Genomic DNA, 13759 nt, shown 5'->3' on the forward strand with positions numbered 1-13759 from the left:
TTCAGAAGGGAAAGTGGGAAGATTTGAATAAACAGAAGTTTGTATCTTAAAGTAGAAAGGACATAGTTAAAAGTTGGAAACAATAGACCATTCAGTGAAAGGTGATGATCTTTAGACTAAAAGACAAACATGTAAAGTTTTGATTATGAAATTATATTGATTCACTTATTTTATTTAAAACTTGAATAGTAATGGGACTTTAGAATAATCTTTTAATTTGACAATACTTAAGAATAGATAATGACAGTTATTTTAAATAGCACTAGTTATACAAGATTGATTACGAATGTAATATATTTTGCCTTGAAAACATACAAGTGAGGGTAAGAAGGAGGCACACATTCCAACCCCCTTCTGTTCTTCGCCTCTTTGTTGAGTGCCAAAAATCCTTGGAGCCAGTTGAGACAGGAGATAGATATCTGGCCACTTAAAACTATCTGGACTAATGCCATATTAATACATGGTAAAGAACAGACAGCAGGTTAACAAATTAATAATCACTATACCAGTCTGGTCTGCATTTAAAACTGACCTAAATCACATAACATTTCAATTTCCTTTCTTATTCAAGAGCTTCAGCCTTCTTTCAATTAGGTTCACACATATTCTAGATAGGCAAGTAGCATTATGCACTCATTCAAAAGACAGTCATTTAACAATTATTATATGCAAAGTGCTATATACAAAGCACCATGGTAAATATAAAAAATTCATCAGTCATGAATAACGTTATGAAGAAGCATATGCCTAATAGGGAAGATAACAAAAGATATATACATAAATAACTACAACACGGCTGGGCGCAGTGGCTCACGCCTGTAATCCCAGCACTCTGGGAGGCCGAGGTGGGTGGATCACGAGGTCAGGAAATCAAGACCATCTTGGCTAACATGGTGAAACCCTGCCTCTACTAAAAATACAAAACATTGGCTGGGTGTGGTGGTGGGTGCCTATAGTTCCAGCTACTTGGGAGGCTGAGGCAGGAGAATGGCGTGAACCCGAGAGGCGGAGCTTGTAGTGAGCCAAGATCACGCCACTGCACTCCAGCCTGGGTAACAGAGCAAGACTCCATCTCAAAAAAACAAACAAACAAACAAACAAAAAAACTGCAACGCAAGCTACAAACCTAAACAGATATAAGTGAAGATCCATAAATGCTCCTGGAGGAGATAAGATTAGAAGGATTATTCAAACATTCAATGATTCCCATTTGACACACAAAACAAATGTCAGTATTTGGTCTCCCAGTTTGCACTCTTTTTCAAACAAGGCATACTGCCTTTCACCATTAGCACAAATTTTCTATTAAACTCTCAAAACTTAGAGTTATTCATCTTTAATTCTTTATTGCAATTTTACTCCATTTACACTTAACCCGTGTTACCCCTGAAGATATTTAATTTTTCCTATTAACATTACACAGAACAAAATATTTCTACCCAACATAGGAAAACTGACATCACATATCTGGTCCTGCAGACTGTTAACAAGAAATAAAAGTGAGGTAATGACATACACTAAGAACAAAAATTTGTATTTCCCAACACCATATCCTTTTAAATCTCCAAAACGATTTCTGTTCAAAGTCCAGAAAGGTGTTTCTGGTTGATTGAAACAGCTATCTTCTAAACCAGCCACAAAACCTAATGCTACCACCCTCCACCCCTCACTAACTTAGTTGCTTGAGTTTTTTGTCAAAAATAATTGGAATTTGTTTTATAATTATAGGACTACTAGGAGTCCACCTCTAACACTAACTCTAGAAAAGACACAGTCAATGTAAAATATACAAAGTTTTGCACTAAAGGCCTAAAGTGGGAGGCAGAATTAAAGAAATCAGCCTTTGGCTCTCAAAGTAAGTAAAAATATAAACATCAACTTAGTTTCAGAAATGAGGAAATAAAATATTGTAAAGAAATTAACAATAGCATTGTACTTTAACCAGATACGAAAAATAAAAATGAAAAAAAGATAGCAATGTGTCTTCATATCATTCCCTTTAGCAGATCACAAAATTCTATTAATGTTTAAATGTTCATGTGTTTCATGAACACTGTAACAAGTATTTACTCTGATGGTTATTTCTCTCTATATGAATAAGATAAATATTAATGTTAGAATTTGAGTTCCATGAAGGCAGAATTCTGTCTGTTCTATTCCCTGATTTATCTCCAGCTGAACTCTACCTAACACACAGAAGGTTCTTAATAAATAACGCAAATGAACTATGCTTCAAACGGAGAACACTCTCATTATTTGTCATACAAATAAATGAATGTCAGAAGAAATTTCGTGACAACTATATCTAAAAAACTATAGAATATACTATACCATGTCAGAAGGGAAGAAAGTGGCAATGTTTCACTAGATTAAGATGAAGTTCCTTTCACTCTTCCTTAATTATTATGAACTAGTAATTAACAAATTACGATTTAGCCATATAATTTCATGTATCACGTATTCTATCTACTATCATTAGGCACAAAAAAAATTAAAGAAAGCTAAGAAGCAAACTGAAGAAAAGATAAGTGGATTTAAAAAGCATCAAGTAAATCACTTCTCTGCAATTTCCCCAGCTTTGTGAATCTGTGAATAACTGAGATTTTTTCATTATCAACTTTCTATAACTATTAAAATTGTTTCACACATGAATACGGATGCTCCTTAACCTATGATAGGATTACACCCTGATAAATCCATTATATGTTGAAAATATCTTAAGTCAAAAATGCATCTGATAACTCTCAACCTACCAAACATCATCGCTTAGCCTACCCTACCTTAAGCATGCTCAGAATACTTACATTAGTCTACACTTGAGCAAAAGTATCTAACACAAAGTTTATTTTATAATGAAGTGTTGAATATATCATGTAATTTATTGAATACTATATTGAAAGTAAAAAACAGAACAGTTGTATGGGTACTCAAAGTAAGGTTTCTACTAAATACATATTGCTTTCTCACCATCCTAAAGTCAAAGAATCTTAAGTTGAACTATTATAAATTGGGAAAAGTCTGTATATGAAACCATCAATATTAGCAGAAATTTAAAGGTTAAAAAGTAATAATGCAAAAACTGGTTTTGGATTTAGTTTTTGTCAAAAGCGAAAAATAAATATTTTCCTGCTGTTTGCTTACATTTATATTTAATCTCCTGTCATGTTATAATTAGCTACTTCCATTTCCATTTCCCTCAAAATATTGTAACTCTTTGGAAACAATGGTTTTCAGCCCCATTTTCCACCTGTTGAATTATATCTATCCATGCCTAAATAAAATACGTTCCTATTAAAATTCTCTAAAGGACTTATTTAAGAAATCTGTCAATCAATAATAGAACCTACAATAAAATCTTGAATTATTTGTCCAAAAGTAGAAGCCTAGATAATGTAATATCACATACCAAACAAAAATACATCTTTTTAACTTTGAATTGTGCTCTCAGGTTTGCAAGTGAATATAGCTGTATTATAGCTTCACAGTTGTAATGGAAATGTGTCTCTATGAATGATCAAAAAGAGTGTTTCAATACCATAGTTCCCTAATTAATATCATGATCAATTACTTTAACGATGAAGAAAGAAAGTGACTCAGGTTTTTGAAAAGTCCAGTAAGAAATCAGTGAAGAGCACCAAAATGGTCCAAGTAGAAAGACTAAAGCCTTCTCTTTTATTAAAGTGTAAACTGGGAATGCAAAGTGATTGGCTCCTTCTGTCAATCAGAAAAGCAGGGCTGGTATGGTTTTTACACACAGCTCTAATTGCTTCTTCTTCCTCTTCAATTAGCTAATAACTGAGAATCACACAGGAAAAAGAAAAAATAAAAGAAACAATTGAATAAAAGAATTATTTTTCAGGAAAATCTATGATACCATAGAGAAAGCTATGCTTAGGATCAGAATATATCAAAAATACAGTAATCAGACATGATTTTTAAACATTCAACATTCAGGTATCAGAAATTTACATATGAATTTCAATAAATTATAAATTACATACCTTGGTTACATCAGATTAAGTTCACCTCAGACTAAGCTCTTTGAAAGTTATTGGTAGGTGTCAATAAACCTAAATAGCTTATGAAATTACTTATCACAAAGAAATGAAAATTCTGCTCTGCCACTAGTATCTTCAGAAAAAGCAGTAAGAAGAAAAGAGTTGCTTATGTACAGTTTTAATTCTATTAAAAGGTATAGTTTTATATTAAAGACTACATTATTTATTCTGTACAGTGATTCCATATTGAACACTCTCCATCAAACCTTGCATCTCACATGCCACAGGCATCAACTAACAGATTTCCTCATTAATTTAAGAATGATACAACAGTTTTAACGCTGACTTTGATGGCTAACAACAAAAGATAATAGATTTGCCTTTAGTTTTATTGGACTAAATTTACATATTAAAGAGTCTACAAGAATATCACACCTCTCAAAGATACATCCCTTTGGCTGACTTTAATAAATTCCTCCCATATTTGAATTCTGTACCATCCCTAACTCTCATTCTAGAATACCACTCCCTCTATCACTATATGGGTAATCTGAAAACCACACTCAAACCACACTGTGACACAACTCCTGTTCTCCAGCTTTGCCATACATAACCTTCTAAACCCCTCCTCTTCCCATCAAGTCCCCCAGAGAATTTCTAAGATTACTAACACATACACACACACACACACACACACACACACATACACACACACACATTTAAAATCTCAGCCCTGCCATTTACTAGTCTGTAACCTTGAACAATTTATTTAGCCTCTCTGTACCTTAGTTTCCTCATCTATAAAATGGGAGTAGTAACTACCTCACAGGATTATTATGAGGATTAAATGATCTAATATTTGTAAAGCACTTAGAATAATGACTGACACTTACTGTTTACTGTAATTACTATTAAATATTTTCAATATTACTTTCAAAATGTATAGATTTCACCCCATTAGATTTGAGGATATCATAAAAACAAACATCACTCTTTTTAGAGTGATTCAAATCTCTCCTAGAAACACACTCAAGCAGAAGAGAGCCACACACACACACACACACAAACCTCCAGTGCACAGTATACCAGAATCTTTGGAGAACAAACTTTTGCCCGCTAAGAATGTTATTGTAGAGAAAAAGCTTATGGCAAAATGGGTAATTCAAGCAGAAGTGAAGCACAAACTAACAATTTGCCTGCTACTTTTACAATGAGCAGAGGCATGATATGCAAAAAAAAATGTTTTCAAGGAATTATATTTTCTTGAACAGATTTGAATCTGAAACCACTCTGGAAAGCAACTTGCTCACTTCCTGGACCAATCCATTTACCATGGAAAAAAAGCTTTGCTGAAGTTAGGAAAAAACACTTTCTTTGTACCACTCACTAAAAGTAAAAGTAGTAAGATGATCCCAAATGTTCGCTATTTTATAAATTCACATACTTCTAAATACCAGTTTTTCAATTAGTTAGTTAATAGGAGAATAAATCCCAAAACTCATCAGCAAATTTTCTTCAGATTCTCAGTGGCCAATAATCTCCTTTAAAGAAAACCTTTCTTACTTAAAAAAATACTACTACTATAAGGAAAAAAATAAAAAGATACTAGATGCTATACTGATAATTACTCTAAGTTCAGTTCACCCTCTGAAAATGTAACCTATTTCCAGACAGCTAAATGTGCTTCTCTACCATAAGAACAAATTTCCCTTACCATTTATAGGCAATGTAAGTAACATTATGTTATTAAGTAAAATTAAGATACACTTTTAATCCATTTTAATCCATATGCTGTGCAATACCAAAACCTAAATTTTACTTCCTTTGATATTCAAAGTAAACAGGTATACTCATAACTTCAGATTAAGGCCAAATGTACAGCACCAGTAAAAGTAACCCACAAAGTTAAAACAAAAAACTACAACTAAAAATTAATTTAATTTCAGCATAGAAATCTGAACACCATGACATTTTTATTGTTACCTTTTAAATGCTTCGGCTGGGTTTCTCTCGCACTCCCCAGGCTGTAAGAGGCTTTGGACTGCTGGATCCCTTAGCTTGTCCTCATATCCTTGGAGTAGTCCACTGCGGCAGATCTGGGCTACTAGACCTCTAATAAACCCTCCAACACACAAAGTATCAGAGTCCTGGGCTTTGCAGAAATGAAAGGCCAAAGCTTGGCGATGTAAACCTCTCTGCAAACTTGCAGGTGAACTTGGCCATAAGAGTTCAGTACATAGGGCCGTCTTGCCACTGCCAGGCCCTCCTACCAACAACACACCCCAGGCAGCTCCCTTTCCAGAGACACCACTAGCATTATTCCCAGAATTCATTACAAGTGATGGTGCATTGACAGCACTATTGCAGCAGTTACTTTTCTCCTGGAGGCAATGCTGAAGCTTGTGGAAAACCCACTCCCTACAGTAAAACTGCTTCCCTTGCAGTAAACTGGTTTGAGCCATTTTGCAGACTTTCTCTTCCCAAGGATTAGTCATAACGGGTTTTTTATCTTCATTTGCTAGAGTCTGGATACATCAACACAGGTCTTTCCATCCATTATGACATAACTTGTATATTAAGTTGACTCTGAAGACAGAGTAACTAGTTACAGTAAAATTCAACAGCCACAGAGTTCCTCTGTCAACAGAACGTGCATGACTTTATTTGGTTCCTTATTCTTGATCAGCAGTCTATGTATTAGTTGTTGAACTGAGGGAGAAACGCCTGATTCCACAGCTCAGCAACACTTTTCCTAAATTTTAATGAGTCACATAACTCCATGGTTATAACTGGAGTTTATGTGATTGTGGATGTTTCAAGAACAGAGATGAGACAATACATGTGGAAAACTAAAGAAAAAACCCAATCTTTCAATTTGTACAAAATGCTTCTCCAGATTCCAAGTGTTAATTCTGCATCTGACAATTAGATTCTGAAAAGAGGTCCACTGCATTAAATGGCATCAGAGAGATTACATTTATACGGTATGAGGTACAGTATGTAAGTAGCTCTGTATTTCTCGTTGAAGGATGATCACTCAAGAGTACTAGATCGTGCCAGTTTCAGGCATCTGGGCAACTGCCAGGAACTGTTTCAGATTATAGTCTCTTATGTGGCAGAAATGACAACCACTGTTAACACCTTCTTAATTCAAAGCATTCATAATATGCATTTTTCAAGACAGCAGATTCTTAATGAACCTGTTCACAGGTTTCTTGGTTTTAAGACGTCCGGGTAATCAACAATTTCCACAAGTAACTAAAATAAAACAAACAAAAATACCTCAGTGCAAAATATCATATGTTAAAAACTTATTAAGGACAATAAAGGTTGCAGTGTACCAGTTAACGTAATCTCAAAAATCCACGTACTTCACCTTTGGCACTTTCAAAAAGTTGGACAAAAACCACTGAAATAATCACATTCTCCCTTCTGCATTTTTCTTCCTCATTGTTATGCTTCCCAAACAGCCACATTTTAATCAAGTTACCCAAGATTTTTGCAACTTCACCATAGCAAAGGAGGGGGGGAGAAACTTTACGCACATACAGTAACACCCTTAACTCCAGGCAAAACGCTCATTCACAGTAGACTGGTAGAACAGCGCCAGCTAAGGAAGCTCTATTAACTTACACAGTCCAGTCAGTCAAGGACTGTCTACTCCTCCAGCCACACTTCTTTGTTGATAATGTGCAAAAATCTAGGGGAAGATTACCAGGGTTGCAGCTGGATGGGAAACGGTTTAAAAAAAAAAAACAAAAACGATGGGGGATGACTGTTCTTATAAGAATGATAAAGCAAACACAAGTAAAATGTGAATCCTTCCTTCCTCTGGGCCAAGGATGGAGGTCAGGGATAAAATCTACCAGTCTGGCCGGAGAAAAGGCTGCTAGAGAGAAATTCCTTCCAAGACAGGAAAGGGATAAAGAGTAGAGTGCTTCGGTGCTGGTGGGTGTCTGCCCACAGGTCCGGCCTCCAGTTTCAGCTGACAGACAAAAGGAACTCCGGGATTCCCAGCGCCGGGCACCACCTTGGGTTGGAACCGCCCAGAGGAGCCACAGGGGAGCCACCTCAGAGAGGCCACGAGCGAAGGTGCAGCCTCCACACCGAGGTCTGCCCTTCCAGAGGCTGGGAGCGCCTCTGCACCCCGCCCCGCACCGAGATTGGGGTGTGTCTTTTGAAGGGGGAGGGGGTGACTGAGGTCCTTGCCAATCCCAGACGAGGGGTCGCCTCCCGGTCGGCTTCCGCCTCTGCGCTCCCGCCCCATGCCCCGCTCCCGCTCCCACCCGGCCGACGGCGGTGCGAGGGAAGAGGGCAAATCTGGGGCTCGAGGCCGGAGAGGGTGGGTGGTTGGGTCAGGTCCAAGCCACGGCCTCGGCCTCCCAGCTTCCAACCCGAGGGAGGGGCCTCGCTTCCACCGCCGCCGCCGCCCCCCGGTTACCTCGGCCCCAGCCGCCGCCGTGGCCGCCGCTGCCGCTGTTAGGGACTCTCAGTCTCAGACACTTGCTTCGCTGAGAAGTCGCTGCCAGCAGCGCTCCCAAGACTCCACTCCAACTGCAGCCGCCTCCTCCGCCGGGCCCGGGGCACGCTCCCAGCTCCGGATCCTCCTCTTGGCCCCCGGCGGCTGCCAGTTCCAGCTTTCCCAGCAGAATCGGTCGTGCTCGCCCCAGCCCCCACCGGCCAACCGCCGCCGCCGCCGCCGTCAGGGCAGTAACTGTCTCAGGCAGCCCCCGGCCGGCCGGCTCCGCCCCGCCCGCCCAGCCCAGACCCCGCCCCCGCCCCCGCCCCCGCCCCGCCGCTCGGCCTTTCTTTGCCCGCCGGCTCCGCCTCCGCGTCCTTCCCCTCCCCCACCGCGCTCTCCCGCAGCATCCCGTGCCTGGGCGTGTGCGGCCGCCTGGGACCCGCTGCCGGCGCGGCGGGGAGACCTGTCTCGGGGCGGCGTGGGGGCCCCGCCTTTCTCAGGGGAGGCGGAGAACGGGGCGGGGGCTGCGTTCTCACGTCTCCGAGCTCACGCGAGTCGTTGCCCCCACCCTCCCCGTCACCACTGGGCCCTGATCCTTCCTTTGTCTTCCAGGCCGGAGGGACTCGCCGGCTGTTGGTGCCGTATCTGCTCCTGGGAGGGGCAGTTGGGTAGGGGGAGATTGCCTCTTGCCTCTCTCTGCTCAACCCTTTTGCCTCTCCCTTAACCCCGTTGCTTCCAAAGCCACTTCGGGCCCCGTTCTACCCCTCAGTCGTCCGGTCTCCTTTCAGTCCATTAAATTCCAGGGATGCTTTTACTTTGGCTGGGACGAAGAGAAGGAAGGAAAAGACTGGGAAGAATGTTGCGAAAATAGAAATAGTGGGGGTATACAGCGACATTCCTACCAGCCTCATGAAAAGGACGTGGCCTCCATCAGATGGAGGTTGACAGCAGGCTTGACTGGGTCTCAGGCCCCTGCTCCTCAGGGCCACTTGATCACCCGCAGCGTCCACTAGGGGGGAAGGTCTTGGTCATGTGGCGTCAGGAAATGCCCTAGAGGGCCTGCTCACAGGGGCCTGTTGGACTAAGCATGTCAGTTGTTTGCACTTACTGGACCTGAGTTGCTTAGATTCCAAATTTCTCCCGGGAAAATAAGTATACCGTCAACTGATGGAATAGGAAATGTAGCATTTTTTATTTTAATTGTTTATGCTAAAATCCAGAGTGCTCTATTTCCCATTCCTCATTAACTTGCATGTGGTTATTTGCCAAAATATTAAGCCAGTCTCCCATCTAGTTTTAGAAATTTCATAGTATAGCTATCACAATAAGAAAGATGGATAAACAAATAGATCGTGTTTGTGCTTACTCTTTCATATTGTTTATTCGTGCCAATTGAGGTTTACTGATCTTAGTATTTAATTTTAATTCATGTACCCTGAATTTTGGGCTTCTTTCCTAAAACACAAGCAAAAGAGGCAGAGTATAAATTCTCCAGAATTAGGGGGATGAAAATTGATTTTTAAAAAGCTACAATTTTTATTTATTTTTGCCTAAGCTGTTTTAATTCCCACTTAGCTTGTTTGCCACGCAGCTTTATAGTCATTGAACAGGTTGACTCCTTCAGTTTCATGGTTGTAAAATTTTATGTTTAGAGGAAAATTTAAATGAGAAATAATGTATATCACATTATCATTTCTATTAAGCCGTTTGCTAACACAATAATTAAAATAATTTCTGCCCAGTAGAGAAGTTACCGAAACTTTTTGTTTAGTGGGCCTCATTTATGATAACTAAGCAGTATCATGGAATGCTGTTTTAAATAACATCAGCTGTAACTAAGCTGTAATTAATCTTCAGACCTATTTAGAATTTTGTTTTTTGCTTTAAAATTTATTTCACATTTTATTTTTATTGCTTTTTGCTTTTTTTAATAGAAAACCCTTAACAGTGACGTATATGTATATATACACACATATATAATTTTATGAAACTTCTTTTTATCAATTACCTAAATGTTAAACGTGGCATAAGCAGAATACTTACTCTTGGTACATATTCACATACTTTAATCAGTTTCTTAGTTGTATTTTCTCCAATACCAGATACTCGCATTTTTCCAAAGAATGCAATTTTTTTCAATGTGGCCTTTCTTATTTTTAATTTGTTCATAAAATTTCCTGAAATCATCACAGTTTCACATAAATTTGAAATTACTGACAGCTTTAACGAATGCTTCTCTGAAGACTATAATGTTTTAAATGGAAAATTAAGTGGTGAGATACGTATTAAGCTCAAAACACACTCTGCTAAATAAAATATATTCTCCATTCTAATTTCTCTATATTGAAATGTACAAATTTTTCAGTTCAAATCTTTTCCTAGCTGTTGTATTTTTTTAAACCTCACTCAGTTATATTGTGCAACAAGTGTTTTTACAAAACAAAGCTCATTATATAAGTCTTGAAAATGTACGTTTATTTTGATGGTATCAATCAAGTTTAAATACTACAAAATTATGTCATCTCAATTTTAATCCATTTAGATACAAAATATAGTTTCATCCAATTAAAAGCAACAGCTCCATCAAAAGATTCCACAAGTTGAGATATTCCAAAGCACAATTCTAAGTTTCAAAAATTACGTCTTTTATAATGTCTGTGTTTTCATCATCGAGTACATTCAGTTCCTTGTTTGGTAGAGGTAAATTTGAATTTCTTTATATTTGCAAGTTCTGTAATAATTATAGCAATACCTGAAAGCTACAAAATTTGAAATCTATGACTTTAGAGTTCTAATGATTTTACATGAAAGGCTGTGAAAATTTAGAGGACTCATTTTAGTCCTCTAAATTAACTTGTGTAAGTCACTCAGGTTTATTTACAAAGTGATGTTTTATGCTTGGCAGTCTTTCAGGTTATGCCACAAATTTAAAGAACTCTGCATTATACAAAAAGAGTTCAGCCTACTTGCTATACTCTACTACAGGATAAGTCAGTCTCTATTTCACATATTTCAGATATACCTCACATGTAATTTTCTCCATTTACTACTGATTCTCAGAAGTGGCTTCTTGCACGTGGAAGGCAGCTGCAGCAAGCCAGGGCACACTGAACTGCTATGCCACGTGTCTAGCAGGATCAGCAGCCTTGAGAGTTTCTCTGGTTACTACCAAGCCCAGGATTTGGTATATATTATATGTATATGTATATGTATATGTATATGTATATGTATATGTATATGTATATGTATATGTATATGTATGTATATGTGTATGTGTGTATATGTATATGTTTATGTATCAACCACCCATATCAAGCTATATTTTATTTTTTCAACTAGCAGTCTGCATACTGTCCTTCAAAGGATAGTTACTTTGAATCTGGAAAAGAGTTATTACTGGCAGCCTTTCAGATTTCCCCACAAATTTAAAGAACTCTGTTTATTTCATCTCATATACTATTTGAGGAGACCATGGCAGAAGCTGGAAATAACGAAGGTCCACCAAACCATTATTGTAATGCTACTATTAATAACATTGTTATGTTTACATAAATACACATTTTGTTAGTATGTTCACTGGACTTGATGTGGACCTAGACTATAGAAAAACTTTGATTGACATGGGAGGCATAATGATAGGAACGTCCAGCTGTGGCTACCCTCTTAAATACCCTTTTAAAAGAATGCTTATTTAAGCCTTACATTTTAAAAGTAATTGTTGCCAGCTGTATTCATTCCTGTTCTTGAAAACAAGCCTAAAAATAGCTGTTGCTTATAAAATGTGTAAGATATAGGCCTTTTCTTCAAAGAGTTAAACAAATCCCCAAATAAGATTTATTTTGCACAATTACCAGTGAAGGGAAATAAAGACTCATTGGCTATGGTTATTAGGTGGCTAGTTACAACGCTTCACCTTTACCCTTCACTTTTTCCCATGCTCCTAGATAGAGCAAAAGCTCTTAGTAGACCCCAAAATTACACCAACAGTACACATGACAGCATGGATCTGAAATTCATATTCTCTTTCACCTCAAATATGCAGCAAGAAATTTAAAGAAGCAAATTAGGATTATCTAACATGTCCCTCTATTGGATTCCCAGAACCACTTTTTCCTACCTTTTCTTCTATGAGTCTATATGTAGTTTAAATGACCTCCCTACACCAACCACGAAGTCACCTTTTCATCAAATCTCACCCTTTCATCAAATCTCAGATGCCAATAAATACCCTCCATGAAGTATTCTTTGAACTATATTTTAAATATCCAAGAACTGATGAAACTGGCTTAGTAATAACTCATATCCCCGAGTCCTGTGTCAGTCATATGGTCACACGCAATAATAGCAATAATTACATGTAATTATATTAATTTGAAAATAATTCAGTGTCATATGTGAAGGTAAACTTTCTCAATTATGTCCCCTATGCATCCTTTGACTGGATTTTGGTGAATCATTAGATAAATTAATCACTTGCCTTGCTGCAGATAATTTATTCCTTTGACAGATTCCCAAGTAAATGAGAGATACTATTTCACTTATTGTCCTCAGACTCTCTGTTTTGTAGAACCACATAGTATTTTTTCTTTGTCCAAGTGTCTGTTACTTGCTAAACTAGTATGCCTTGGCATTGGTAACGTCGGGAAGATAGATTGTATTAGTTTGGAAGTTTAATATTACGTACTAGAAAGCATAAAAATAAATTAAACAAAGAGTCTGTGGGAGTAACACATCTTATAACATCCTAAGGCCACAGAGGCTCTTGTAAATACCACACTTCCTGTCCTACATACATTTCCAGGGAACTGTAGTGATGATGTGGGCAGGGACAGCTGCGTACCATAGTTGAGCCAAGAAGCCTATGGCTTGGTGGTTACTACTCAGAAAGTTTTTTGTTTTTTCTAAGTTAGGTGGTAAAAGGCCACCAAAAGGTAATTCAAAATATCCTGACTAGTCAGTGTATCTTACCTAGGTGCCTATATTTCTTGTTAGTGCTCTCCAGTCAGCTTAATATATGATCATTCCTTTGGAATGTTAATATATATTTCTATTTTCATTTAATACTGATTAAATCCCTTCTGTTTTTGAAAAGTATTCTGTCAGAAAGATGTAACTGGAATCACAAGTCTAGACTAAATTGGTTGAGGAACACTGTATGCCAAGTGGTTTTTGTTTTGTTTTGAGACAGGGTCTTGCTCTGTCACCCAGGCTGAAGTTTAGTGGCACAATCTCGGTTTACTGCTACCTCCCACCTCAGCCTCCAGAGTAGCTGGGACCACAGGCATGTGCCACCAAGCCT

At 38.2% G+C, this 13759-nt stretch overlaps 1 protein-coding gene across 4 annotated transcripts in view, besides 5 other annotated features; it reads right to left on the reverse strand.

Annotated features, from left to right (window-relative positions):
* Window positions 1-8714, reverse strand: part of ANKRD50 (ankyrin repeat domain containing 50) — a 48685-nt gene extending 39971 nt beyond the window's left edge. The window contains exons 1-2 of one of the 4 annotated variants that reach the window (NM_020337.3): window positions 8440-8714; window positions 5982-7256 (exon numbers count right to left, since the gene is read on the reverse strand). In NM_020337.3, coding sequence (NP_065070.1) covers window positions 5982-6493 — 512 coding nt within the window. In that variant the 5' untranslated portion in view covers window positions 6494-7256; window positions 8440-8714. Of the gene's footprint in view, window positions 1-5981 lie in introns of all 4 variants that reach the window. The other 3 variants (XM_047415992.1, NM_001167882.2, XM_017008471.2) reach the window with 3 other exon arrangements.
* Window positions 8122-8687: an enhancer, noted in NCBI's record as "NANOG-H3K27ac-H3K4me1 hESC enhancer chr4:125633295-125633860 (GRCh37/hg19 assembly coordinates)". NCBI's record gives its function as "activates a minimal SCP1, AML or CMV promoter by ChIP-STARR-seq in primed H9 embryonic stem cells {active_cell/tissue: H9 hESC(primed)}" and the evidence as "EXISTENCE:reporter gene assay evidence [ECO:0000049][PMID:30033119]".
* Window positions 8122-9253: a biological region, named in NCBI's record as "NANOG-H3K27ac-H3K4me1 hESC enhancers GRCh37_chr4:125633295-125633860 and GRCh37_chr4:125633861-125634426".
* Window positions 8201-8440: a silencer, noted in NCBI's record as "silent region_15669". NCBI's record gives its function as "represses an Ori minimal core promoter by ATAC-STARR-seq in GM12878 lymphoblastoid cells {active_cell/tissue: GM12878}" and the evidence as "EXISTENCE:reporter gene assay evidence [ECO:0000049][PMID:35858748]".
* Window positions 8591-8970: a silencer, noted in NCBI's record as "silent region_15670". NCBI's record gives its function as "represses an Ori minimal core promoter by ATAC-STARR-seq in GM12878 lymphoblastoid cells {active_cell/tissue: GM12878}" and the evidence as "EXISTENCE:reporter gene assay evidence [ECO:0000049][PMID:35858748]".
* Window positions 8688-9253: an enhancer, noted in NCBI's record as "NANOG-H3K27ac-H3K4me1 hESC enhancer chr4:125633861-125634426 (GRCh37/hg19 assembly coordinates)". NCBI's record gives its function as "activates a minimal SCP1, AML or CMV promoter by ChIP-STARR-seq in primed H9 embryonic stem cells {active_cell/tissue: H9 hESC(primed)}" and the evidence as "EXISTENCE:reporter gene assay evidence [ECO:0000049][PMID:30033119]".

The sequence above is a fragment of the Homo sapiens genome, chromosome 4 (genome assembly GCF_000001405.40).
Source record: "Homo sapiens chromosome 4, GRCh38.p14 Primary Assembly".
Classification (NCBI taxonomy): Eukaryota; Metazoa; Chordata; class Mammalia; order Primates; family Hominidae; genus Homo; species Homo sapiens.